Source organism: Homo sapiens, chromosome 9 (genome assembly GCF_000001405.40).
Source record: "Homo sapiens chromosome 9, GRCh38.p14 Primary Assembly".
Lineage (NCBI taxonomy): Eukaryota > Metazoa > Chordata > Mammalia > Primates > Hominidae > Homo > Homo sapiens.
The window spans coordinates 134,052,848-134,080,248 of NC_000009.12; the positions used below are offsets into that span (position 1 = coordinate 134,052,848).

The window sequence follows — 27,401 nt, forward strand, 5'->3', positions numbered from 1 at the left end:
ATGAGCATGCAGATGAGGGCACCATCACCTGGAAAGCAGGCCTCAACATACACTCGGCCTCTAACTCCAAGTGGGCTCACCAAGCTGGCAGATGGGCCATCCTGCAGGAGCCAGTGAGGCAGAAGAAGGCCCCAGTGAGCCTCGACTCCTAAGCCCCATCACCACCCACTCGCTTTCCTCCCGGACACGCGTGGCTTCTCCCTATTTCCTGCACCTGGGGCAGCCGCCCTCCACTCTCCCACGCCCATGTGGCCCCTGTGCGCCTCTGTGCTGTGGACTTCCTGAGGCACAGGCTGTCCCCAGCTTAGCAGCAAATTCCCAAGGCCAGAGGCAGTCTTTCCAGGATGGGGGCAGCAGGAGGGGGACAGAGGACGGCAGCAGCAGAACGTGGCTCTTGGGGAGGCAGCAGCTACGCACCGGCAGGTTCAATTTGATTGCGTCCACGGGCTGGTAGAAGGGCCAGGCGAACTGGTGTTTCCAGAGCGTCTTCACCACCACATTCTGCATGTACTGCAGCTGGTTGGTCTTGCGGCCGGGCTTGCTGGGGTTGGAGACCTCCGGGGGGGGTGGGTTCACAGGGCCCGGGGTCGCCGGGATCCCCGCGGGGGCGACTGTCGTGGCGGTGGACATCCTCCGGCAGCTCACTCACTTTCTGTCACAGCAGCGGCTTGGAGAGGCCCTGGCTGCTTCTACGCTCCCTGAGAAAGCGCGACGTCCCATTTCCGGGCCCAACCAGGCGACAGCTGCAGAGGAGGAAGCACAACAGAGAGGAAGGCCAGTCACCCCGGGGACCCCCACCTCTCCCAGCCTCGGCGGGCTCCTGAGGGCACCTGTCGGGCCTCAGCAGGGCCTGCTCCACTCACTCACCCCCATTGCCCAGCCACCCAGGTGAGAGGCTGTCGGGAAAGCTGCTCAGGCGAAGCGCGACCAGCTCAGAACGACTCTCCAACCACTGCTCTCAGGCACGGGAGGGAAGGCCTGGGCGGTGGAGGGAGCTCAGGCACATGCCACTTGCTCCCAGGTGGGGGCTTGGGGAACACACTGGGAGGCAGGTGTGCCAAGGGACTCAGCCACTGGCAGCCTTCTGCCCACCAACCACCCACTCGTGGGGTCGACTCGTTGCTACTGGGCTCTGACAGCTTGGCCACAACAATGTACTGAAGAGTGACCCATGCGTGGACAGCCACGGTGCGGGCCCAACACAGCCAGGGGAAGTGGGGCCGGCACAACACGGACGTTTGCAGACCCAAACACGGTGCGGGGAGGTGGTGCCCTTGAGCGAGGCCAAGCAGTGAGGTTCTACCGTAACCAGGAGAACGGGCCCAGGTTTGTGATGGCGGCGTGGTTGTGACCCGGCCTGGCTCTCGGCCAATCAGAGAGGCGGGAGCGGCGGCTCAGACCCTGCCGACCTCCACACCCCAGCTGACCACAGGGAGCTCTGCACACACGAGATGCTGGGGCTTCCCTGGCCCCGACTGGCTAGCCACAGGCAGGGCTGGCAGGAGGAGGCCACCGCCACCCTGCGTGTCCCAGGAGGGCACGGACAGTTGAGAACGCCCATAGGAACGCTGCACAGTGGAGAACGCATGCAGGCCTCCAACCATGGCCAGGGCCCTGCGGCGTGGCCCCGTGTCTACCTGTAAAGGTGTGGGGCAGACCCGAGGAGCTCTAACCCAGCGCCTGGGACTTCAACTTCAGCCTCGTACCTTGCTGCCACTTGGGCCTTTCCTGCAGTCGTGTAACTGACAGTTAGACAGGTCACGGCTGGAGGCTCCCCTCGGAGCACAGGCAGCAGCTCTGCCATGGGAGGAGCCGGCTCCGGCCCCAGAACCGGCCACTTGTAGACGCTCGGGGCAGACAGTCAAGACTAGGGGAAGTTTGTGAGCTGGGTGACATCTGGTTGGTCCCCTGAAATCTGCCTCGGTGGGCAGTTACACCACAGCCATGGGCAAATGCTGCAAACCAGGACCCCCTCCCCAAGCTGGATGCTCAATGTCGTCAGCACCCTGCGTGTAACCTCACTTCCTCCCACCCCACCCCAGAGAGGAAAGGGCTTCAAACTACACGCAACACAGCTCACCCACCAAGCATGCCAGCACGAGAGAACGTGCCCCGTCTCTGGGGCGCCCACCTGTGCCAGGGCCTCATCCAGGGAAGCCCCTCACACCCACCCTCTTCTATGCCCTCCTGAGGTGAGCGGGTGCCTCTCCACCTCACCGACCCGGTGCTCACAGCCCCAGGCTGCAACCCTGGTGCGGAGGGCAGCCCCAGGCCAAAGCGTGGCAGCACTGCCCCTCGCCACCACCACTTGCAAGGATTTCCATGAAGCCCTCCCAGCAGGGCTCCCTGCTCTGCCCCGCAAGGACCGCCTAGCCCGCACCGCAGGGTGATCCTGTTAAAACCAAGTCGGATCAAGTCACCGGTCTGCTCAAAACCTCCCAGGGGCTCCACGTGACTCAGAGTGAAAGCGAGTCCTGCCCCACCCTGGTTGGTGGGGCCTGGGGTGACCGAGTCCTGAGACCTGTGTCCTGTCTCCTGTGACTTGCGGCCCTCCCTCAAGGCCTGGACAGCAGCAGGCTCCTGCCCTTCCAAGGCCTCCAGGTAGCTCCCAGAACACCCTTCCTGCTGGGCCCCCAGGCAGCACAGACACTGGGGCCAGCCACACGGCCTGGTCCTTCCACTTCCCCACGAGGCTCCTGAGGGTGGAGGAGTCAGGCACAGAGAGAGCTCACGCCAGTTATGGGCACCAAGCACCACACGCAGCTCCGCTGAGACTGCCGGGCAGCACCCTGACAGAAGGCCCAGGCTGTGCTGCTGCTGCCTCCCAGGGCCCAGATGTCAGCTCCCAGGTGTCGGTCAGGTGGGGACATTCCCAGTATCCACTGCTGCTGCACAGGCCCAGAGCCAGGAAATGGGGCTGAAACTGACCTTTGGGGATGTGGGGGTGGTCAGGGCACAAAGGAAGGCTCCCAGGCTGCAGGCCAGCTTCCTCCAAGCATGAGGATGGACGGTCACAGCTCAACATGGGGGCCTGCTTATGCTGCCGTCAGGATCCCACGCCTGGCCAGATCAGGCCCTCTAAGCCACCCACTTCCAACCACCTGACCACTGTTTCAAACCGGAGACTGAGAAGGAGCCCAGCTCCAGCCATGGACACCGGAGTGCATGCCTCGTCCTGGGTGGGGAGGGCAGCCCCGCCCGGCCATGGACTGTGAGCTTGAGCAAGGCAGAAGGAGGGGCGCCCCAGGCTCTGCTTGGCACCAGCCCACGAGCCACGGCAGAGCCGTCCAAGGCCCAGCCCAGAAGCCCTCTTGCTGCTGCCAGGGAAATCCCGGCCAATGTGGTTAAAGCTCTGGGGCTGCACCTGGTGCCAGCATGTGCTCACTGAATGCCAGTGGTCACTACAGGCCCTGAGGGTGCAGTTTGCCTCCAGCTCCGCTACCTGGCAGAAACACACCAACCCCAACAAGACCTGGAAGGCTGAGGGGTGCAGTATAAAAAGCCCCTGGCACACACGGGCAGGCGACTGCCCCACCCTCGGTGGTGAGGCATGGTGATCTCACCTCTCCTCTCCTGGAACACAAACCCTGCCCTCTGAGACACCTACACCCCACACACTCAGATTTTGCAAAAACTCGAGGACAACACGATGCCATGATAAGTGGCCCTGCCTCCCCCAGAAGCCCTTGGCATAGAAGCGGAGCCCCCAGGCAGCCTGGCACCAGCCAGTGGGAGGGGCAGGGAGGGAGGGCAGCCAGAGGGCAAAGGGGTGGCATCCCCCTCAAGCCCCCTCCGCTACCAGGTACTGGGACCCACCACCTGGCAAGGACCACGCCGGGCAGGAGGAGACCAGGAGGCGACAGTCAGGTGAGAGCCCGGGGTGACCCCTCCCTGTGGGAGAATGTGCAGTTCCCAGAGTCCCAGTGGGGAGGGAGGGCTGAGACGGGCTCAGTGCCTCAGGTCCCCGTCCACAGCACATTCACACCATGTCATCCCCTCTGGGGCCGAGGGCTGGTCCCGTCTGCAGACACCTTCCCTCCAAGCACAGTGGGTGGACAGGCTAGAGCCACAGCCAGGGCCTGGCTCTGCCACCCTCAGTGTCTCAACTGTCCAGACAGAGAAGCTGAAGAAACCAGAAGGCGTCTGTGCAAGAGAGCCCCACACAGACACTGGAAAGAACCAGGGCAACCTGCAGACCAACTCGAAAGACCTCCCCTAGGGCGACGGAAATGAGATGAGGCAAACAGCTTCCCGACCAGAGCCCATGCACCTTCCACGTCTGTGCAGGGAGCTCGGGGCCACATCCCGAGATGGGAAAGACAACTGAGGCTTCCACAAAGAAATTACAATGAAACAGACACTGGCCAGGCCAGCTGAAAATCAGTGATGGACTACGGTCCAAATCAACGTGGAGGTTCCAACAAGAGAAGGACGGTGGTGGGGTCACCCTACCCCAGCCTGCGAGTGCCCCAGAGGGTGCACAAGCAGGACAGCCACCCTGTTGCAGAGTGTGGTGCTTTCACACCATGTTCACCCCACCTCAGCCCTCTGGCCCAGACGTCGGTGGCTCCTCTGCCAGGTGAGGTGAGGTGAGGTGAGGTGGGAGCAGACAGTGGAGAAACACCACAAACAGCACAGGTGGTCGGCCAGGGCCACGAGCCCTTCAGCTCACCGATGCCGAGACCCCACAATCCCCACAACAAACCTGCAAGGTCAGAATAATTGCGCACGTGTACGGACGACTAAGCTGAGGCCCCTTCCTCCTTCACCTCCGGAATGCCACCTGAGCGCAAAGGCTTTGGGACACAAAGCACTCAGCAGTCGGCAGTGGAGGCACAGCCCAGGATCAAGACCCTGGGCTTCCTGTCCCAGGCTCCTCAACCTGCAGGCGGCCACACAGCAAGAAGACCCTGGGAAGTTAAAGAACGAGGCGCTCCTGCTTCCCCCACCCTCAACGGCCAGCAAGGACACAAAGGCAGCCCAGGGCAGGGCCAGCCGCCAGCCACAAGGCCCCTCCAGAACCCAAGGTCCAGTGGAGACTCTGAAAGGGCTGATTGCAGGGCCCCCACGGGGTCCACACACCAGACACAGAGGCCCATGCAGAAAGGCGGTAAGGGGCCCCCCTGGGGTCTGCACACCCGACACAGAGGCCCTGCGAGAGGGAGGCATGGAGCGCCCGCGGTGTCGGCACACCAGGATTCACAGCCCGGCTCTCCACCCCCAGCTGACCTCGCTGTGAAGAGATGGTTTGTGCTGAGAGCTTAGCAAGGCCGTCGTCTACCGAGTGCTTCCCACCACAGCCCATGCGCAGGCATGAGAGTCATGCCTCCCGCAGGCCACAGCTTCACTCATGCAAGGACATTCTGGGGGCCGGGACGTCCTAGCCAGTGGCTAGAACTGGGTGTGACCATGGGCCCCCTTGGCTGGGGAGAAAAGGAGGTGCCCCTAGATCCCAAGTCCCCTGGGGCCGCAGCAAAGGGAGGAGGACCTTGCATCACTCCAGGGTGCCACGTGGACGAACAGAGGTAACATTGGGAGTGTGGCTGGCAGTGTTGGACATTCAGAACATGTCTGCCCAAAACAAACATGGCCTTCGCTTCTCCCAGCTCCCAGAAACAAAGTAAACAGAAGGATCACGTCTGGACACCAGGGACCAGCCCCTGTTACATCCCTGTCCCCCCCAGGCCAGAGCCTGACCACTCCGTGTCACCTGCCTCTACTCCTGTAGTGACTGTCAACTTTTTGGATTTCAGAAAGCCAAACCAGCAAGGGAAGCCTTTTCCCGGGGGGTAGAGGTGTCTCTCCTACACACACCCCTACCCCAGGGTCTGAGATGACATCCCAAATCAAACCCGGTATTCTGCAGAGATACACAAAGGTTCAAACTACAGACAGCCTTGTATCAGCTGTAAAGGGGGGCCAGATTTTGCTGCAAAAGAAAAAACCCAGTATCCCCTCGCTCAGCCCACTGTGTCACCAAGAGGGAGGGTGGGCGGCTGGCCGAAGAGGGCTCCATTTTATAGTCCAGGAAGGGGTGGCCTGGGCCCCACAGCTGGTGGGGCAGTGGCACTGGATCTGAAGCAAAGCTGGGCACTGGAGGCTGTGCCTTGGGCCGGTGTGCTGGCAGCGCCTGCTGGAGGAGCCAAGGGGCACTGATTCAACACTGACTGTATTTCCGGAACCAGAGTTAGTATTGGGGGTATGGTGGCGTTGTGGTTACAATCTTTCAAAAGTCCTCATCTTTCAGAGATTTGGACTGAAAGTTCTATGAATGAAATGTGTCTGGAATCTGCTTCATGATAATGTGGGGGGTGAAAATGAGTGGGGTCTGGAAGAAACGGGCCAGCCCAGAGCTGCCCCCGCCCGCGGAAGCTGCTCAGAGGGAAGAGGGTGCACCTCCCTTCTCCCCGGGCCCCCAGCACCCCGTTCCTCAACACACACTCTGCATCCTGCGTCCTCACAGCAACTGTGGGGTCCAGGGTTCTGCCTTGCACCCACTCTCCACCTTCATGCGATGGGGAATAAGCCGACGGGACTCCTGTGAGGAAGTGGGGCAGGGGTGGGGCAGATGGACTCAGGTGGAGTGACTCGGGCTGGAGGAAGGCAGCGGTGCCAGAGACCCCAGTGCCTTAAAGTCTAGACACGAGACACACAAAACCTTCGTGCCGCAATCCCTCCTTCACCCCTCGCAGCTGCCCTGCGGGAATGTGCAGCAGAAGGGGGTGTGGTCTCCTGGGGGTAAACCCTTGCTCCTTTTCTTGGGGAACAGGGGGGCCCCACACCACAGGGACCCTGGACACTGGAGGGGCTGGAAGCCTGTCTGCTAAAATGTGAACCGAGAAGGGTCTGTGAGCATGTACAGTGCAGGAAGAACTCATTTCACCACTCAGCCCTCCAGTGGTGAAGGGGCTCCCACACAGCCTGCTGGCAGCCACCTCGCTCCAGGGGGCTCTTTGCTGTGCGGGCAAGGCCCCCTCAGGAAGGCAGCCTGGCCATCAGCAGCCTGTCGCAGCAGCAGCAGCAGCCTTGTCCTCAGCAAACGCACTCCATCCCTGGGACCATGGCAGGGAAGCGGTGGGTCCTTGGGGGACAGGCCTGGGGAGCCAGATGTGCCACTGCTGCTCTCCCCTGGGCACTGCAGGACAGGGATGGAGCTCTGTCTCCCAGAGGAGGGGGCGGAGGCTCAGAGACCCTCCCTGGGGTCCACCTCCCCGGGTCTCCCACTCAGCTGCCCACAAAGCCCATGCTAGAGAGCCCACAGGCACTGCCTGCCGGGCCCAGCAGAGACAGAGGCAGAGGCCACCCTTGCCAGTCGGGTAAAAGTCGGAGTGAGCAGGCAGCCTGCCTTAGACACAAGAGGATCCGAAACTGCCCAGAGAGGAAACTCAGACAAACCACAAAAGTCCTCGAACGCCAAGCGAAAACCCAGCAGTGAGTGGGTCTGGTGAAATCCTCAAGAAAGACCCAGGCCATGCGCAGTGACTCAGGCCTGTGACCCCAGCACCTTGGGAGGGGCAGGAGAATCCCCTGAAACCAGGAGTTCGAGACCAGCCTGGGCAACATAGTAAGGCCCTGATTCTACGAAAATTTAAAAAAATTAGCCAGGCCTGGTGGTGCACCTAGAATCCCAGCTATTCAGGAGGCTGAGGTGGGAGGATCACTTGAGCCTGGGAGTTTGAGGATACAGTCAGCTGTGATCGCACTGCTGCACTCCAGCCTGGATGTCAGAGCAAGACCCTGACACACACACACACACACACACACACACACACACGATCTGGAATGCCATGGAGATTTCCAAAGTAGCCAGCGGGGAGAGGGCAGTGGCCAGGCTCCCCTAACACTGACTAGCCCCCTTCCTGGGTCCCACTCATGCCCCATCCAAGAGAGGCTCTGTGCTGGACATGGAAGGAATGTTGGTGAGGTGGCCCGAATCCTACCTATCCTCACCCTTGCTGTGTGGCCCCAGGCAGGCCCACCTCTGGCCCTGAAGCTGTGGGTGGCCCCCTGAACCCTTCCCAAGGTCCCTGGACTCTGCCTTCCTCTCCATAGGGCACAGGAGGACCTGAATGAAAAGCAGAAATTCAGCCCCCTTTAGGCTGGCCCAGCCCAGAATTCATCAGAAAAGATGCTGAGTCCAGGGCTGTTTCAGGGCTGTGGACAAACAGGGAGGGAATGGGAATCTGTCCAGTTGCCACCAAAGAAAACACCCAGAAATGCCAGTAGCAGTCTCCCTGACCCCTCCTGCCATTCCATGGCCCTCTTGGGGAGCAGAGACCCAGAGGGGCAGGAGCAGGCATGTCGCCTGGGCAGCACAGCAGCCTAGCCTTCAGGCACTCCACAGAGGGAGGACAGAGGGGTGCTGCCTCCAATGCCACACCCTGGGGCAAACCAGCCAAGGGGCAGCGGCTGGACCATGGGGGCATCTCCAGCCTGGCCTGGGCCCAGAGCAAAAAGTCCTTATTTGGGGTCCAGGGATGGGGAGTCCCAGCTTTCAGCAAACAGGCAGGGTTGGGAGGACAGCTTACCAAGGCCATTCCAGCTATAGCATGAGTCTGGAGGAGCAGTGGCAGGGAGGGGCAGGGCTACATAGCTCTGCAGGGGCTCAACCAGACCTGCCAGCTAAAGGGTGGGAGACAGGAGCACTGGAACCAAGGGTGGGGGTGCTGGAGGAAGCTAGGGGAGGCCTTTCCCAGGGGCTCCCCATTCCCCATGGGTCTCCAGCCCTGGAATTTCCATAGCTCTGGGCCTCTGTACCTGTGTCCCTGACTGGATGGCCCCCACTGGGGCACTCCAGCCCGTCTCCTGGACTCTGTCCTGCGTCAGTGGGGGTCAGATGAGCCCCATCTTCCATAAGTGGAGGGGACGCTCAGAGGTGAAGGGGCACAACGTCGCCCAGGCAGAGAAGGCCAGAGCCAGCTTGAACAAAGCTGGACATCCATGCCAGACTCACCGCCAACACCCCACAGCCCCAGAATTCTCGGGATAATGCTGGGAGCAGTGCTGTGATCGGCTGTGGCAGGAGGGAGCTGAGTCTGTGAGAAGGGATCCCAGCCTGCTGCCCCCACAGCCCCATCTAACCCGGCCAACCTAGCACCTGTCCCCAGGCGGCCAGAGGGGCCTCCCCAGCCCACGTGGTGACCAGCGGCCACCCTCCAGGACTCGGGAAACTGGATCTGTCAGGGCAGGGCTGCCTTCAGTGACAGACGGAGCCAACTGCTTCCTTCTATGGAGCCAGGGGAGAAGTCGGGGGTTGGGGGCCCCCTGTAGCCCTGGAGGAGCCCTGGGGAGGGCAGCTGGGCATCGTGGGCCCCACCCAAGCAGGCACGGCCAGCCCTGGCGCCTACTCCCCAGGGGAATCTGCCCAGTGCTGTGAGCCCCCCATGCACAGCGCACCTGCTCTCCTGCAGCTGCCTGGCCGCCTGGAGGGCCCGGCTCTACAGGCCCAGCCCTGTCCCGGGGCGCTTCAGCAGACTGGTGGGGCTATCCTGGGGCATGGCCCCAGACACGCTGGGCAGGTGCAGCTGCCAGCGCTGCCTCTCCCGTGACTGTCCCCTGCACCCCACAGTTCTCCCCACTCTGCACCCACCAGTGCCTTCTAGACCTAAGACCTCATATGCCTCCTGCTTTCTGAACCCAGGGCCTGTGCTTCTCCATGGCCCCACGGCCCTGGGTGAGCGGCCTCTCTGAAGGTTTCCCTTCCTGCCATGACGCCCCCACAGCCTTCTGGCCACAACCCGTCACCTCTTCCAAGCTCCGTCCCTACCCGCCTCTCTACCCACTCCTCGAATAGAGAGGACTCAAAGGACGCTCTACCCCCGTGGGACCCTCATGAGGCGCGTGAGGAGGCCCGACCCTCCACACATGCTGGGAACGAGGAAGTTGGCCCCACAGACACTGGTCAGGCCCTCCCAACCCCAGGCCACCGCCACGTAGTCAGGGTCTCCCACGGGTCTGGGAAGGGCAGGAGAGCCACGACTCAGGCAGGGGACTCTCTTCAGAGGGGCAGTGAGTGAGGACAGCACCTGGCCCTTTAGAGGGAAGGAGACACCGTGCTCTTAGAGGGACACAGCCTCAGGGTCAGGCCCTGGTGCTCCGCACTTCCTAAAACAAAGCTGCGGCAGGCCCACCTAGCATCCATCTGTCTGCTCCATCTCCTCTCAGCCGGCCTGACAAGAACCAAACTCACAAAACACCCCGGCCCCAGGAGACAGGCCTGGCCTCACTGCTGTCCCACTCAGCCATGCCGAGCCAGGACAAGGGGCCAGCAGGGCCGCAGCTCTCAGACCATCCCCTTGGTTATTTCGTCTATGTTCTCTGCTCACCCCCAACCACAAATGCCGAGGACTGCAGGACGCCCCCAGGCCTGTTGCCGGGACAGACCGGAGGCAGAGCTAAGAGCAAAGCGTGGGCATGCAGCACATCTGTCTGTGAGTCCACAGCCCACGGAGCCACCGTGCTTGACCCTTGCCTCCTACCCAGCCCCTGGTACCAGCGAGGGCCTGGTCAGCATACCCAGGGCTCTGTCCTGTGGTGTGGGCAGATGGGGGCGGGTGGCACCCTGGACCCGCAGGCTCACACAGCTGCCCCTTTGCACATTTTGCTCCTTGTGGGATTGTCAGGCCAAGGCTCCAGTGACGCATGGCACAGGGAGGGCATCCTCTCAGCCGCTTATAGTAGATTCTTCCTTCTGCCACATGACAGGTTATAGCTACAATACTCAGCACTCCTGCAGGGGCCGGGCACCTCACACAGATGCATCTGTGCCTCATCTCGGTCAGTGCTCACACGGAGGCTAAGGCCGTCCCGCCCCAGAGTCCCACAGCTCCCAGGTACCGACTCTTAGTCCCAGGTCCTCACAGGTGCACTGAGGGCACTCCCTCTGCCCCAGACTCCAGGCCTGGCCAGCAGCCGCCTCTGCAGATCACACCCGAGTCCACTGGGTGCTTTGCAAAATGCTGCAGCTGGTTATCAAGCCACACTCAGAAAGATCCAGCCGGCGACTCCTGAACATCACTGCACCCTCAGCGGGACACTTTTCCAAGTGGCTGGAAAAGTTGTCTCCCACAATACCGGATTAACTTCTGACGAACTCAGTACCTTGGGGGCCTGCGGCAAGGAGGGGGGCGGGGGCATGTTCCACGCCCCATCTTCCCAACACCAGGCTCCGAAGGCCCTGTGAGGAGGCAGCCTGCGAACTGACTCTCAGGGAACAGCCACAGACTGGTGCGAGACGCAGACAGCCAACAGCACGGACACAACAGGGTCCGAGCCTCCAGCCACACGCACAGGTCCTGGCTCCACTGCGAGCTCAATCAGGAGTGGCCAGAAGACTTACAATTTAAACCACCAACAGGTGAATGGCCCAAAGTGACACTTTCTCTTTAAAAGAGCTCTCGGTCAGGCATGGTGGCTCACACCTGTAATCTCAGCACTTTGGGAGGCTGAGATGGGTGGATCACCTGAGGTCAGGAGTTCAAGACCAGCCCGGCCAACATGGCGAAACCCCATCTTTACTAAAAAATTAAAAAAAATTAAAAAAAATAGCCAGGCGTGGTGGCGGGCACCTGTAATCCCAGCTACTTGGCAGGCTGAGCCAGGGAGAATTGCTTGAACCCAGGAGGTGGAGGTTGCAGTGAAGGGAAATCATGCCATTACACACCAGCCTGGGCAACAGAGTGATACTCTGTCTCAAAATAAGTAAATAAATAAATGAGCTCTCAAGCATCTTGGCCGAGCATGGTGGCTCACGCTTGTAATCCCAGCACTTCAGGAGGCAGAGACGGGTGGGTCACTCACGGCCAAGAGTTTGAGACCAGCCTGGCCAACATGGTGAAACGCCATCTCTACTAAAAATACAAACAAACAAACAAATAAGCAAGCCCTCAAGCCTCTCAGATGGCAGGAGCCCAGGAACCAGAGCAGGGAGGCCCGGGCACAGGGGCCCATGATGTCTGTGCCCATGATTTCACAGGAAGGAGAATAGGCAAAGAAAACCCTATGCTCCGCCACCAGCTGGGCACCTCTACAAGGTGGCAGTACCAACAAAAACACAGGAGCAAGGCCATTCTTGGCAAACGCTGACCCAAATGCACCTGGCACCCCATCATGCTTTGCTACCTGTGCATCTCTTCTGCTCCAACAAGGGGGCGGAGCCACAGGGGTCGGGAAGGCCCAAGGCAGACCCGCAAGTTCCAAAACCTTTTACGGCAAGAAGCCTTGCATTCTACCATGATTCATCCAGTTACCTTCTAGCTTCAACCAGATACTGGCTTCGTGATATAAGGGACCTGCTGGCTAGGCACGGTGGCTCATGCCTGTAATCCCAGCACTTTGGGAGGCCAAGGCAGGTGGATCACGAGGTGAGGAGTTCGAGACCAGCCTGTCCAACACAGTGAAACCCTGTCTCTACTAAAAATACAAAAAATTAGCTGGGCGTGGTGGCGGACGCCTGTAATCCCAGCTACTTGGGAGGCTGAAGCAGGAGAATTGCTAGAACCCGGGAGGTAGAGGTTACAGTGGGCTGAGATCGTGCCACTGCACTCCAGCCTGGGCAACAATGCGAGACTCCATCTCAAGAGGAGAAGAGAAAAAAAAAAAAAAAGGAACCTGCCTAGGACAGGAACCCCGTCAGGTCAGTTATACTTTGATGACCGGTCAAGGAAGCAAGAGGAGGATCCTCTGACCAACTGCGTTAACTGCTTTGAAAACCAAGAGACCCGCAGCACGACTTCAGGCATGCCCCCACCTCCCAGGCAGCAACGCTGGGAAGAGTAGGCCCCGGTTCCCCATACCCCGCCCCGGTACCGTGTGTATCCACAGCAAAACATGGCTCTTCCCATCGACAACTGGGCATAGCTGTTGGTTTTGTGCCAATCACCCCACTTGGGAAACCCTGAGCCACCATGCCTCAGGGAAAGTGGTGGCACTTCCTGGTGGCACCAGGAATCGCACAAGGCCATCACTGCCGCCTGGTGCACAGGGCTCCCGCGGCTGGCATCTCCAGAGCCTGGAGGAAGAGGGTAGAGGAAGGTAGCACCGGCTGCAGCAGGCCTGGCTGCTTCGCTCTGCACACCCCCACTTTCACTTTCTGGGTATGACTACTTCGGAGTGTAGGGCAGGCACTGTTTGCAAGTCCCGTCCTTCATTCAAAGCTCACTCACTTCCGAAGCAGGCGCGAGCTGTTGTCAAAGGAAAGTAATTACTCTACTTTCTAAAAACAAAACAAAAATAAAAATGGAGTGACTGCCCACTCGGAGAAAGCTTTTGAAATCCCTCCTCCCCGGATGTCCCAACGGCAGGGCTCAGGCTGGAGCTGCTCCCACAGTCTTTCCAGGCACCCGGTGCCCTGCTGAGGCACCGGGCCTCTGAGGCTACCCGGAAGGTCAGAAAGAAATGCCCCTCGCTCGCCTGCAGCCCGTCCTGTTACAGCGTGTGCCTTATCTTTCATGATCAGTAACCACCAGCACCCATCAAGGCCTCAACAGAGAAAACGGCAAACACAGACCTTTATTTGCAAATGAGAGGCTGCATCAGGGCTGCCAGGGAAGAACCCGGAGGGAGGGCTCCCTAACCCCCGAGGCCAGCCCCTTGCAGGGGTTCAGACCTTCCTTAGACCCCGTTGGAAGCCAGTAACAAACTACTTTCCCCAGAAAAATGCCATACAACTTTGCATAGATTCCAGGATCTCCCCAGGCATACTACATGGACCCAGGAAAAAAAAAAAACCCTCCATTTTAAAGAAAAGAGTAAGGGGAAAAGCCTACAAAAGAGCAGGGTAAAAAGAAAACTCTTTTCCTCTTCTGTTCCTTCTCACAGGGTAGGGCGGGGGAGGACGGGACACACGAAGCTGCCTCTTGCAGTTCCAGCCCAATTACTCTGCCCACCAATGCACTACAGTCTCCCCTCCTGGTTAACTTTTGCAGACAATGACCAAGTTTAATGTAAGGGGGAGAAATCCCAGTATCTATTTCTGAGCAGAAAGCTTTCAACCAAAATTAAAGATCGCAACCACTCAAGGATTGGGTCGAACGGAGGAACCCACACGATGGACGCCGGGTCCCTGCCCCCGGTGGGTCTCGGCGGGCCGAGTTCTCGCCCTCCAGGGAAAGGAGGCCGCGCGAAGCCCCCATCCCGGCCCTGCCCCCGAACGAGCAACCGGTGGAATAAGACTTCCCGCACGCCCCAGCTTTATTCACAGAGAGCCCACCAGGGCCATGTGGGTGTACACGGTTCGGGGTGCGCATTTCTCCCCGGATGGGCTTGTATCACGTTGTCACTCCGGCGCCCCCCAAAAGTGGGAAGGAGGGGAAGCACCCCCGTCCCTCCCGCTCCAACTCGCCCTCGCCCGGATTAAGCGATTTTCAGGCTGATTTCAAAACGGGAACTGGGTCTCCCCCTGGTTTGGGTGCAATAATCCGGCAACTCAGGGGGGCTCAAAGTCAGCTCTGGGCCCGTAACTCTGGGAGGAGGCCGCGCAGAGCCCAGGGCCGAGCCCGGCCTTGCCCCCCGCCCCGGCCGCGGCGCGCGGCGACGGTCCCCAGGCGCGGGCCCCAGCAACGGCTCGGGAGCGAGGCCGGCGGAACAGGCGCGGGGAAAGTGGCCCCGCGGAGCGCACGGCCGCAGGCCGGGGCCGCCGCGCGCACCTTCCCCCTCCGCGTCCTCCCTGGGTTCCCCCTTCGAAAGATGGCGGGCGGAGGAAAGGGGGAAAAAAATCCCTTCCGTGAGGGAGGGCGCGCGGAGGCCGGGCTGGCGCGGGGCGCGCGGGCCGCGCCAACTCCGGGCTGCGCGCCCCGGCCGCAGCGACGCCCCGAGTCCGGGACGGAGGCGGCCAAGCGGGAGCGGGAGGAGGGGAGCGGAGCCCGCGCCACCGCCGCCGCCACCGCCGCCGCGACCCCGGGCGGCCGCCGCGCTTTGTTGCATCGTGGCCGCGCACAAAGGCGGCGGCGGCGGCGGCGGCCCCGGGCGCCCGGTTCACCCGGACGCGCCGGCGGACTGCGCGGGGCGCTCGGGGCCGCGCTCCCCGGCCCAGCCCGGCCCGCCGCCGCCCGCGCCGCCCGCCGCCCCGCGCGCGCAAGGAAGCAAGAGAAAGGCGTACTTGGCCTCGCGGCTCCGGCGGCCGTCCCCTCCCGGCCCGCGCGGCCGGCTCCTCTTTGGCTCGCCGGCCCCGGCAGCATAATAGACGCGCCGGAGCCGAGCAGGGCTCATGCGCTGCGCCGCGGCGCCTGGCGGGAGTCGTAGTCCGCGGCCGGGCCCGCGCCGGGGCCGCCCAGGGGAGGCCGCGGGCGCGCGGACTACATGTCCCGGCCCCGCCGGCGCCGCGCCCCGCCCCGGGGGCCCCCGCCCGCCCCGCCGACCCGGCCGAGAGCGGGCCTGGCCCGGGGGGCGCGCGGGGGCGGGGCTCGGCGCCCGCCCGGCAGGGCAACAACGCTGGGACCCCGTGGGCCGTTCCCCGCCCGGGCCCGCACGGCTCTCCTCACCCCGTGTCGGGGACAGCGCCTGGCGGCGGATTTTCCGGTGCCCCAGGACGGCATGGAAGAAGCGGGCACGCAGCCAGCACCGCAGCCCCCGTCCGGGCACCCCGAGGCCCGCGGGAGCCACCCTCGAACCCCGGCCGCGCACGGGCGGGGCGGCGCGCACCTGCCGGGAGCCCGTGTTTGTAAACAAACCGCGCGCCTAATTAGCCTGGCGGGAGCGCGCGCGCGGGGCGGGGGGCGGGGCGTCGGTGCGCGCGGGCAGGTCGGCCCCGCCCGGGGAGGAGCCGCGCTCTGCCGCGCCCTCCGTGTCACCATCTCCCCCACCCGACTTGCTGGGGCGCGGGCGCCCAAGTTCGCTGTTGCTGGAGAGGGCGCCAAGTCCCCAGAGCTGGCGAAGAGTTAGGGGTGCTCCCAGCTCTGCCTGGGGACCTTCTCGCCCCAAGCCCCGGTTTCCCCATCTGCCCAGTGAGGGGCGGGAACTAGATACCAGGTTCCCAGCCTGAGATTCCGGGAGAGGGCCACCCCTGGCCCTTTTTCTGTATCTTGAAAGGTTCAGCCCGTGGACACGTTTTGCATCTTGTTTTGGGTGATGACGACTCGGGTTTACACATAAATCAAGTTGTGGGGGGGGGGGTTTTGTTGTTTTTTTGGTTTTTGTTTTTTTTTTTTTTTTTTGAGACGTTAGTTTCGCTCTTGTCACCCAGGCTGGAGTGCTGTAGTGTAGTGAGTGGCTCGATCTCGGCTCACTGCAACGTCCGCCTCCCGGGTTCAAGCCATTCTCCTGGCTCAGCCTCCCGAGTAGCTGAGATTACAGGCACCCGCCACCACGCCCGGCTAATTTTTGTATTTTTTAGTAGAGATGGGGTTTCACCGTGTTGACTGGGCTGTTCTCAAACTCCTGACGTGAGATGATCCGCCCACCGCGGACTCCCAAAGTGCTGGGATTACAAGCGTGAGCCAACGCACCCGGCCACATAAATCAATTTTAATCCAGCTGTAACTTAAGGTGGTTACACGTTGTGTACATTAGACCCCAATAAAAACGTCAAAAACAAAACGAGGTTCCTTGGTGCCTGCTGAACCTGCCAACTGCAAGGTCGAGTTTCCTTGTGTGGGCTGCACCCACCCCAAGCCCCTGGGGTCCCCAGGTGTGTTCCAAGTTGAGCAGCAGCTCCACTGCCTGAAATGCACACATCTATGCAATATTCACAAAGTGAGTGCCAGCACAGAGACAATTCATCCCCATGCTCACCCAGAAGGCAGGTGTTCTGTTCCAGGCTGACAGGTAAGGAAACAGGCTCAGTGAGGCAAAGGGTCCTGCCCAAGGTCACAGAGCCAATTTGCAGGACGGCTGAGACCCAAAGCCCCGGGGTCTTAGGAAGAGTTTGCAGGGGAAGCCAACACCTTTCCCAATCCTGTCCCTCTGTTTCTGCTGGGAGCCCAGGACCTTCTCACACTCCAGGGCAAGGCTCTAGGACGAGGTTCCAGCCTTGCCTTTCTAGTTGGCAAAATGGACAAAGTGCAGTCCTCAGGCGCAGGAAGGTCGGGGAGGGGGAATATGAGAGGTGAGGATCTGCAGGCAGTTCCCTTAGAACTACCATCCTGGTTGTGTCCCCAAACCCCCGGTGCAGTTCCTCAACCTACAGGCTTCTGTGTTAGCCACCTTGGAGGCTGCAACCCATTCCTGCTGTCTGCATCTCATCTCCTTGGGTATCTTGAGCACTCTGACCACCAGGATGGCCACCTCACCACTTACACAGACCCCACTGCACTCCTCCCAAGGCTAGAACAAAAAGCCTTTCCGCCTGGTCTTGACCTCAAGGAACCCAGGTACATGCACACAGCAGGCTGCCCTGACCAGCCAGCGTGTCTGAGGCTGCTGACCAAATGCCCCCAACCCTTATGGGCCTCCCACTGCCCTAAGGTGACCCCCAGGAGTATGGCAGGAACCCAGGCGCTCCCTGGGCACTGGCTCTGATGGAAGCACCAAGGTCCCCTTCTTTCCCTTCCCGCTGCTCACCCACACATGAGTGGCCCGGATGGCTCCATGGAGCCAACTTTCCCGAGGCTGGAGAAGTCTCTAGGAAGCAGAATCTGTAAGGGAACAGGACAGAAACTCTCATTTGAGCATCTCAGCCCCTGTGCTACTATCTCTGAAGACTAGTTTAGGGGCCACAGTGGCAAACAGCTGAAAGCCAGCAGGGCTGCCATTGAGAAGGGATTTGGGGTGGCTCTGCAGTCCCCTCCAGCCCCTAGCAGCCCATCATCCTCTCCCTTCCTGCTCAGGCTCTTGGAATTTTAACCTCTGGTACTGCTGAATTTCCCAAGTGAAGCCACTTAATCTCCCCGACCCAGGTTTCCTCCCCTGTCACAGGAGGATAAAAATAGAACCTGATCCCGCAGCTCTGGTAAGGGAGGGGGGCATGTGCAAAGGTTGGGGCTGTGATCAGGAGCAGGCTGCTGCCTTTGCCTCCTTGGCCATCACTCACCTCTCTACCTTCACGTTTTACTTCCTGAGCCTCCTTGTGGGCTGTCTCACGGCTCCATGAGAGCAGAGCACTTTGTCCATGAGGTATCCCTAAACATCCTTCAACAGTATCTGGCACCTAGTGGGTGCTCAATACATAGTTGTTGAATGAATAAATGTTCTCTTCTGCACCTCTGTCCTGCCCTCCAGCCTCCATCTGCAAACCTCAGTGTAGCCCAAGCTCTACCAGTGAAGCAGCCACCTGCTCACATCTAAAGGAGGACCCAGAGCCAGGCTCCAGCCAGTACAGGAGCCAGGGCCTCAGCTGCCTCCTCCTCCTTCACCCACAATGCCCCTTAAGGCAGCAGTCCCCAGCCTTTTTGGCAACAGGGACCAGTTTCATGGAAGACAATTTTTCCACGGATGAGTGGGGGCAGATAATGGTTTTGGCATGAAACTGTTCCGCCTCAGATCATCAGGCATTAGATTCTCATAAGGAGCTCACAACCTAGATCCCTCACGTGCGCAGTTCAGAGTACGGTTTGCGCTCCTGTGAGAATCTGATGCAGCTGCTGATCTGACAGGAGCCGGAGCGCAGGCGGGAATGCTGGCTCACAAGTACTCACCTCCTGCTGTGTGGCCCCGTTCCTAACAGGCCACGGACCAGTAACAGTCCAAGGCCCAGGGGTTGGGAATCCTGCCTTAAGGCGCAGAGCAGTTACATCATGGCACTGAAGTTTATACATCAGTTTCTTGAAAGTTTCATTATCATGTGTCTTTCCCCAGGACTGACCAGCTCTCAGCACAACTTTTTAAGAAAATGAATTTCTGTCTCCACCAAGCAGAGGCTGGGCTACAGAGAACTCTGGAGGGTGGAGGAGCAGAGGTTTTTAATTATACAATAATTTAGTGCCTACTATGTGCCAGGCCCTGTGTCAAGAGCCTTATGTACACCATTTTACTGAATCCTGGAACAGTTCTATGACGTAGGGATGATTATGTCTACTTTACAGGTGAAAATGGAGGCAAAGTTAGGTTAAATTACTAGCCTGAGCCATGAACCCAAATGTGGGTTCATATTTCATTTACAAAATATATTCCAGAAGACTGCACCTTGGTAGGGGAAGGTGAGGCATTTAACTTGAGGAAGCAAATGCCCAGATCTAAGTTCATTAAACTTCTCTTAGAAAAGGGTGGGAGGCCGGGCACCGTGGTCCATACCTGTAATCCCAGCACTTTGGGAGGCCAAGGTGGGCGGATCACCTGAGGTTGGGAGTTCGAGACCAGCCTGACCAACATGGAGAAACCCTGTCTTTACTAAAAATACAAAATTAGCCAGGCGTGGTGGCTCATGTCTGTAATCCCAGCTACTCAGGAGGCTGAGGCAGGAGATTTGCTTGAACCCGGGAGGCAGAGGTTGCGGTGAGCCAAGATCGTGCCATTGCACTCCAGCCTGGGCAACAAGAGCGAAACTCTGTCTCAAAAAAATAAAAAGAAAAGGGTGAGGAGCCCCATGGAAAGGAGGGAACTTGGAGTTGAGTCTTCTCACTTTCCTGTTCTTCCTGTCCCCAACATGGAAAATTGTTTGCACAAAAATCATAGCAAAATCCTTAAAGGCATAGAGTGGAAAGGTCTCTGGTATAACCTAGGAGCCCCGGTGAACAGGGAGAGAGAGCTGTGCTGCAGCTGCATAAATGTGCTTGCAGAAAGACAGTCAAAAGGAGGCAGGCAGGACAAGAAGACAGGTGGGCCGGGCTCAGGGGCTCACACCTGCAGTCCCACAGTTTGGGAGGCTGAGGTGGGGGATCGCTTGAGCCCAGTAGTTGGAGGCCAATCTGGGCAACAAAGTGAGTGCCAGTATCTACGAAAAATCAAAAATGTAGCTGGGTGTGGTGGTGCACACCTGTGGTCCCAGCTACACAGGAGGCTGAGGCAGGAGAGTCGCTGGAGCCCAAGGAGGTTGAGGCTGCAGGGAACTGTGTTTGTGCCACTGCACTCCAACGCATGGGCGGCAGAGTGAAACCCCTGTCTGAAAAAAAAGGACAGAACAGGTGACCCCCACTGAGTCTTAGTCTTCACATCTGTAAGATGGGTACAATAAATACTTACCTCTGCTGGGCGCAGTGGCTCACGCCTGTAATCCCAGCTCTTTGGGAGGCTGAGGCAGACAGATCACAAGGTCAGGAATTCGAGACCAGCCTAGCCAACATGGTGAAACCCCATATCTACTAAAAATACAAAATTTAGCCAGACATGGTGGTACACACCTATAATCCCAGTTACTCGGGAGGCTGAGTCAGGAGAATTGCTTGAACCCAGGAGGTGGAGGTTGCAGTGAGCTAAGATCACGCCACTGCACTCCAACCTGGGTGACAGAGCAAGACTACGTCTCAGAAAACAAAAAACAAAACAAAACAAAAAAACAGGCCGGGCACGGTGGGTCATGTCTGTAATCCCAGCACTTTGGGAGGCCGAGGTGGGTGGATCACCTGAGGTCGGGAGTTTGAGACCAGTCTGACCAACCTGGAGAAACCCTGTCTCTACTAAAAATAGAAAATTAGCCGGGCATGGTGTCTCATGCATGTAATCCCAGCTACTCGGGAGGCTGAGGCAGGAGAATTGCTCGAACCTGGGGGGCGGAGGTTGCAGTGAGCCGAGGTTGCACCATCGCACTCCAGCCTGGGCAACAAGAGCAAAACTTGGTCTCAAAAAAACAAAACAAAACACTTACCTCATAGGATTGGCGTGAGGATAAATGAGGTAGGAATACTCTCTCGTAGCTAGAACATTCATTCGTTCATTCACTCCAGAGGTATTGACGGAGTTTTTATGCTCTCCCCTCCTGACACTGCAGTGAACAAGACAAAGCCTTAGCTGTTGTGGAGCTGACCCCCTCCTAGGGACAGACAGACAATCATAAATTACTAAAACATACGGTGTGCCTGATGGTGTTCAGTGCTAGGGAGAAAAGGCAGGCAGGAAAGGGAGCCAGGGAGATGGGCTGATGTGGTCATGGCAGCTATATATGGGTAATAAATATCGTGGGTAGTTTTATTTTTCTTTTTGATCATTGGTTTTTTTCCACTTTTCTGTGGCAGACAGGTATTACTAGGTAATCAAAATTGAGTTTGGTTTTAAAAATCAGTCATCATGATGTAATGGAGACAGAGCTGGCCTGGAAGGTCCTATAAATCTCTTGGGATCCTTGCTTAATTTGTAGGTGTCCTTGGCATTCCTGAAGCTGATGGTTTACGAGATGATGTGCCAGCCCATCTTGGCTTTGCCATCCACAGGAAGGCTTTCTGCATTGCTGTCCTGCGACACCATGGCCCTCTCTGTGTTCCCTCCTCATATCCCCAGCCACAGAGAAGGAGCCCCAAGACAATAAAATAAGTGTGTTTAAAAGGATTAAAAACATAAAATAAACTTTTTAAAAAAAGACTAATGAAATTTTCTGGAAGTTTTGAAAATAATCCCAGAACTTTGGAAAATAAAAAATATGGGCTACATGGAAATTTAAATCTTAGGGAAAGGGTTAGCCAAGCATGGTGGTGCGCACCTGTAATCCCAGTTACTCGGGAGGCTGAGTCAGGGGAATTGCTTGAACCCGGGAGGCGGAGGTTGCAGTGAGCTGAGATCGTTCCACTGCACTCCAACCTGGGTGACAGAGCAAGACTCCATCTCAGAAAACAAGCTTAGACGAAACTGAGGAAAGAGTTAGTTCCTTGAAAGATAGATCTGAGGAAATCAGCTAGAATGAAGCTTAGAGAAACAGAGACAAAAAGCATAAAAATTGGAAAATTCTGGTGAGAAACAGGAAAGGGATGGTTATAAGAAGTTCAGAAAAGTCACCAAATGAATAACAGCAATTACACTTAGATGGCAGCAACAATCCCTGGGCAACAGGGAGGATCTGATTTCCAGAGTTGCCGCATTATAATATTTGAAATGTCCAGTTTTCAACAAAAAAGCTACGAAGCATGCAAAGAAGCAAAGAAAGTGTGGCCCATACACAGGGACAAAAAAAGGAATTAATAGGAGCTCATCCTTAGGAAGCCCAAGCATTGGACTTACTACACCAAGACTTTAAATCAACTCTTAAATATGCTCAAGAGCTAAAGAAAACCATGTACAAAGAGCCAAAGGAAACTATGAGTATGATATCTCACCAAGTAGAAAAGAGAAATAAAGAGAAGTTGTAAAAAGGAACCAAATAGAAAGATTGAGTTGAAAAGAGCAATAACTAAAATTAAAAATTCCATCTACAGCCATACCACCCTGAAGGAACCCAATCTCATCTGAAATTAAAAATTCACTAGAGTCTCCCTCTCGCTCTCCCTCTCTCCCTCTCTCCCTCTCTCTCCCTCTCTCCCTCTCTCCCTCTCCCTCTCCCTTTCCACGGTCTCCCTCTGATACCCAGCCGAGGCTGGACTGTACTGCTGCCATCTCGGCTCACTGCAACCTCCCTGCCTGATTCTCCTGCCTCAGCCTGCCCAGTGCCTGGGATTGCAGGCGCGTGCCGCCACACCTGACTGGTTTTTGCATTTTTTGGTGGAGACAGGGTTTCGCTGTGTTGGCCGGGCTGGTCTCCAGCTCCTGACGGCGAGTGATCTGCCTGCCTCGGCCTCCCGAGGTGCGGGGATTGCAGACGGAGTCTTGCTCACTCAGTGCTCAATGTTGCCCAGGCTGGAGTGCAGTGGCCTGATCTCGGCTCGCTACAACCTCCACTTCCCAGCCGCCTGCCTTGGCCTCCCAAAGTGGCAAGATTGCAGCCTCTGCCCGGCCGCCACCCCGTCTGGGAAGTGAGGAGCGTCTCTGCCTGGCCGCCCATCGTCTGGGATGTGAGGAGCCCCTCTGCCCGGCCACCGAGTCTGGGAAGTGAGGAGCGCCTCTTCCCGGCCGCCATCCTGTCTAGGAAGTGAGGAGCGTCTCTGCCTGGCCGCCCATCGTCTGGGATGTGGGGAGCGTCTCTGCCCCACTGTCCTGTCTGGGATGTGAAGAGCGCCTCTGCCCCACCGCCACCCCGTCTGGGAGGTGAGGAGCATCTCAGACCGGCCGCCCCGTCTGAGAAGTGAGGAGCCCCTCTGCCTGGCTGCCGCCCCTTCTGGGAAGTGAGGAGCGTCTCGGCCCGGCAGCCGCCCCGTCTGGGAGGTGGGGGACAGCCCCCGTCCGGCCGCCGCCCCGTCTGGGAGGTGGGGGGCGCCTCTGCCCGGCCGCCCCGTCTGGGAAGTGAGGAGCCCCTCTGCCCGGCCGCCACCCCGTCTGGGAGGTGTACCGAACAGCTCATTGAGAACGGGCCATGATGACGATGGCGGTTTTGTCGAATAGAAAAGAGGGAAATGTGGGGAAAAGAAAGAGAGATCAGATTGTTACTGTGTCTGTATAGAAAGAAGTAGACATAGGAGACTCCATTTTGTTCTGTACTAAGAAAAATTCTTCTGCCTTGGGATGCTGTTAATTTATAACCTTACCCCCAACCCTGTGCTCTCTGAAACATGTGCTGTGTCCACTAAGGGTTAAATGGATTAAGGGCGGTGCAAGGTGTGCTTTGTTAAACAGATGCTTGAAGGCAGCATGCTCCTTAAGAGTCATCACCACTCCCTAATCTCAAGTACCCAGGGACACAAACACTGCGGAAGGTGGCAGGGCCCTCTGCCTAGGAAAACCAGAGACCTTTGTTCACATGTTTATCTGCTGACCTTCCCTCCACTATTGTCCTATGACCTTGCCAAATCCCCCGCTCCGAGAAACACCCAAGAATGATCAACAAATATTAAAAAAAAAAAATTACTAGAGAAATTTCATAGCATATTTGAGAAGACAGAAAAAATAATCAGCAAACCTAAAGATAAGTCAATTGAAATTACGCAATTGGAGCAACAGAAAGGAAAAAAGAATAAAGAAAAAAATTAACAAAGCCTTAAAACTGTGGGACACTATCAAGCATACCAATATATGTACAATGGGAGTCACAGAGGAAAAAGAGAGAGTAAGGAGGAAAGATTATTTCAGTGAATAATGGCCAAAAATTTCCCAAATTTTTGGTGAAAGATATGAATCTACATATCCAAGAAACTCAAAAAAGTTTTTTCAAGGTGAGATAAACTCAAATAGATCCATACCAAGCTACATTATCATCAAACAGTTGAAAGACAAGAAGAAGGCTGGGCATGGTGGCTCACACCTGTAATCCCAGGACTTTGGGAGGCTGAGGTGGGTGGATCACCTGAGGTCAGGATTTCAAGATCAGCCTGACCAGCATGGTGAAACCCTGTCTCTACTAAAAATACAAAAATTAGCCAGGCGTGGTGGCAGGTGCCTGTAGTCCCAGCTACTCAGGAGGCTGAGGCAGGAGAATTGCTTGAACCCAGGAGGCAGACATTGCAGTGAGCCAAGATTGCACCACTGCACTCCAGCAGCCTGGGCAACAGAATAAGACTGTGTCTCAAAAAAAAAAAAAAAAAAAAAAAAGACAAGAAAATCCTGAAAGTAGGGAGAGAAGCAACTCATGTACAAGGGATCCTCAATACAGTTAACAGTGGACTTCTCATCAGAAATCACAAAGGCCAAAAGGTAGTGGGATGATATACGCAAAGTGCTAAAAGAAACGAAAAAACTTGTCAGCCCAAAATTGTATATCTTGCAAATCTATTTCTCAAGAAAAAAGGAGAAATTAAGACATTCCCAGATAAACAAAAACCAAGATGTTTACTTCTAGTAGACCTGCTATTTAAGAAATGCTAAAGGGAGTCAGTCAGGCTGGAATAAATGAACACTGAACAGTAACTTGAATCCATGTAAAGAGATAAAGAGTAGGCTGGGTGCAGTGGCTCATGCCTGTAATCCCAGCACTTTGGGAGGCCAAGGTGGGCAGATCACAAGGTCAAGAGTTAGAGATCAGCCTGGCCAACACGGTGAAACTCCGTCTCTACTAAAAATACAAAAATTAGCTGGGCATGGTGGTGTGCACCTGTAATCCCAACTACTCAGGAGGCTGAGGCAGGATAATTGCTTGAAGCCAGGAGGTGGAGGTTGTAGTGAGCCAAGATCGCAACACTGCATTCCGGCCTGGGCGACAAAGTGAGACTCCGTCTCAAAAAAGAAAAAAAAAAAAAAAGAGATAACACCAGTAAAGGTAATTACATATGCAAATTTAAAAGTCACCATTAATAATACATTTTTGGTTAGTAACTCTTCTTTCCCTTTCAAATGATTTAAAAAAATAACTACATAATTGTAAATATATGTCAATGCACACACAATGTATATATATATGTAATTTTTAATCAGAACAAGATGGGGGATGAGCCAATATATGAGCAAAGTTTTTGAATACTGTTAAAATTAATCAGAATTCTGTTATGAATTAAGATGTTAATTGTAATCCCTAGGGCAAATAATTTTTAAAAAAACAAAATATATATTAAAAGAGAAGGAAATCAAAATGGTACACCTCCAAGTATCCAATGCAAAAGAAGCAGTGGAGGGGGCAGGTGTGGTGGTTCATGCCTGTAATCCCAGCACTTTGGGAGGCTGAGGCGGGAGGATCACCTGAGGTTAGAAGTTCGAGACCAGCCTGGCCAACATGGTGAAACCCTGTCTCTACTAAAAGTACAAAAATTAGCCAGGCGTAGTGGCAGGCACCTGTAATCCCTCCTAACTTGGGAGGCTGAGGCAGGAGAATCACTTGAACCAGGGAGGCAGAGGTTGCAGTGAGTGGAGATCATGCCACTGCACTCCTGCATGGGCGACAGAGTGAGACCCCCTGTCTCAAAAAAAAAAAAAAAAAAAAAAAAGAAGCAGTGGAGGAACAGGGGCATGAAAAAAGTTAAGATATTTGGGAGTTGCTGCGGCTGCCGCATGACGTGGTGCAGCCGAAGCCTAAAGGCTAGAGCTGGAGCTGCCTTGCCAGTGGCCCAGAAGGTCCTCTCCCCGAGAATTCGTGTCCTGGAGCTTCATTAGCACAGCGGCCAGTGAGATGTTCCTGCCTCCCTCTTTCTTCCTCCGCTCTTTCTCTTCTCTCTTGTTCAGTTTGCCTGGAGCACGTAAGGAGAAAGCAGGGGGCTGCCCCAAACCGCTTCTGCTTCTGCTCATTGCAAGTGGCACTACCACCATGGGCCTCACCATCTCCTCCCTCTTCTCCTGCTTCTTTGGCAAGAAGTAAATGCACATTTTGCTATTTGGATTGGATGCTGCTGGCAAGATGACCATTCTGTATAAACTGAAGTTAGGGGAGATAGTCACCACCATTCCTACCACTGGTTTTAACGTGGAAACAGTAGAGTATAAGAACACTTGTTTCACAGTACGGGATGTTGGTGGTCAAGACAGAATTAGGCCTCTCTGGAAGCATTACTTCCAGAATACCCAGGGTCTTATTTTTGTGGTAGATAGCAATGATCGTGGAAGAATTCAGGAAGTAGCAGATGAGCTGCAGAAAATGCTTCTGGTAGATGACTTGAGAGATGCAGTACTGCTGCTTTTTGCAAACAAACAGGATTTGCCAAATGATATGGCCGTCAGTGAAATGACAGATAAACTAGGTCTTCAGTTTCTTCATAACAGAACATGGTATGTTCAAGCCACTTGTGCAACACAAGGAACTGGTCTGTATGAGGGACTTGACTGACTGTCAAATGAACTTTCAAAACGTTAAATGAAACCGGATGTCTAATCAAGGACTTGTTTGATAAAATTGGTCTAGGCTTCTTACAACAAAATTAGTTTGTATCTTGGTTATTATTAAACAGTATCTGGGACTGGTTTGGGTAGAATATTAAACTTATTTTGTTGCCAGTTATTGTTTACCAAGTATAATGTTGCTATTTAGCAATGTGCTTGGTTTTAAAGAAATCCTCCTTGGGAAAAAAGTATCCTCTTTTAATTTTACTTCCCATAAGCCTAAATGCCTGGACATAGCTATTGTGAAACCTTTAAATAAATCAATTTTGAGTGTTAAAAAAAGGGATATTTAGAAAACAAATAGAAAAATAACAGAAGTAAATACTTCTGCATAAATAATTATATTAAATCTAAATGAATTAAATTCTCCAAGTAAAAGGCAGAGACTGACAGAATGGATTTTTTTTTTAAAAACCAGGATCTAACTATATGATGTCTATATATAAGATATTCACTTTACAGTCAAAAAATAAAATAGGTTAAAAGTAAAAGTACGAAAAATGATATTTTATGTAAACAGTAACTAAAAGAGAGCTGGCCTGGCTATACTCATATCAGACAAAATAGACTTTAAGAAAAAATGTTTATAAGAAACAAAGAAAGACATTATGTAATACTAAAATACTCAATAAATTAAAAATATATAACAATTATAAACATCCATGCACATAACAACAAAGCTGCAACACATATGAGCAAAAACTAACAGAATTGAAGTGAGAAACATTAGTCCAACAATAATAGTTGGAGACTTTAACATTCCATTTCTCTTCTTT

The 27,401-nt window shown here is 55.8% G+C and overlaps 1 protein-coding gene, 1 long non-coding RNA gene and 1 pseudogene across 9 annotated transcripts in view, besides 7 other annotated features; 2 read left to right on the forward strand and 1 right to left on the reverse strand.

The window, feature by feature from the left end:
• Positions 1–15,701, reverse strand: part of BRD3 (bromodomain containing 3) — a 38,244-nt gene extending 22,543 nt beyond the window's left edge. For 2 of the 8 annotated variants that reach the window (XM_047423906.1, XM_047423903.1), the window contains exons 1-2: positions 15,640–15,701; positions 418–743 (exon numbers count right to left, since the gene is read on the reverse strand). In XM_047423906.1, coding sequence (XP_047279862.1) covers positions 418–630 — 213 coding nt within the window. In that variant the 5' untranslated portion in view covers positions 631–743; positions 15,640–15,701. Of the gene's footprint in view, positions 1–417; positions 744–867; positions 1,302–1,706; positions 4,383–15,097; positions 15,180–15,479 lie in introns of those variants that run through there. The other 6 variants (XM_047423905.1, XM_006717291.4, XM_017015165.3 and 3 more) reach the window with 4 other exon arrangements.
• Positions 1,443–5,958, forward strand: LOC100130548 (uncharacterized). The gene is made up of 3 exons (NR_135126.1): positions 1,443–1,645; positions 3,803–3,867; positions 4,115–5,958. It is a non-coding gene; the product is annotated as an uncharacterized LOC100130548 (long non-coding RNA).
• Positions 6,766–7,507: an enhancer, noted in NCBI's record as "H3K4me1 hESC enhancer chr9:136924735-136925476 (GRCh37/hg19 assembly coordinates)". NCBI's record gives its function as "activates a minimal SCP1, AML or CMV promoter by ChIP-STARR-seq in primed H9 embryonic stem cells {active_cell/tissue: H9 hESC(primed)}" and the evidence as "EXISTENCE:reporter gene assay evidence [ECO:0000049][PMID:30033119]".
• Positions 6,766–7,561: a biological region, named in NCBI's record as "H3K4me1 hESC enhancer GRCh37_chr9:136924735-136925476".
• Positions 7,312–7,361: an enhancer, noted in NCBI's record as "active region_29268". NCBI's record gives its function as "activates an Ori minimal core promoter by ATAC-STARR-seq in GM12878 lymphoblastoid cells {active_cell/tissue: GM12878}" and the evidence as "EXISTENCE:reporter gene assay evidence [ECO:0000049][PMID:35858748]".
• Positions 7,382–7,561: an enhancer, noted in NCBI's record as "active region_29269". NCBI's record gives its function as "activates an Ori minimal core promoter by ATAC-STARR-seq in GM12878 lymphoblastoid cells {active_cell/tissue: GM12878}" and the evidence as "EXISTENCE:reporter gene assay evidence [ECO:0000049][PMID:35858748]".
• Positions 9,742–10,653: an enhancer, noted in NCBI's record as "H3K27ac-H3K4me1 hESC enhancer chr9:136927711-136928622 (GRCh37/hg19 assembly coordinates)". NCBI's record gives its function as "activates a minimal SCP1, AML or CMV promoter by ChIP-STARR-seq in naive H9 embryonic stem cells {active_cell/tissue: H9 hESC(naive)}" and the evidence as "EXISTENCE:reporter gene assay evidence [ECO:0000049][PMID:30033119]".
• Positions 14,625–14,874: a silencer, noted in NCBI's record as "silent region_20474". NCBI's record gives its function as "represses an Ori minimal core promoter by ATAC-STARR-seq in GM12878 lymphoblastoid cells {active_cell/tissue: GM12878}" and the evidence as "EXISTENCE:reporter gene assay evidence [ECO:0000049][PMID:35858748]".
• Positions 15,055–15,784: a silencer, noted in NCBI's record as "silent region_20475". NCBI's record gives its function as "represses an Ori minimal core promoter by ATAC-STARR-seq in GM12878 lymphoblastoid cells {active_cell/tissue: GM12878}" and the evidence as "EXISTENCE:reporter gene assay evidence [ECO:0000049][PMID:35858748]".
• Positions 25,854–26,900, forward strand: ARF4P1 (ARF GTPase 4 pseudogene 1; annotated as a pseudogene).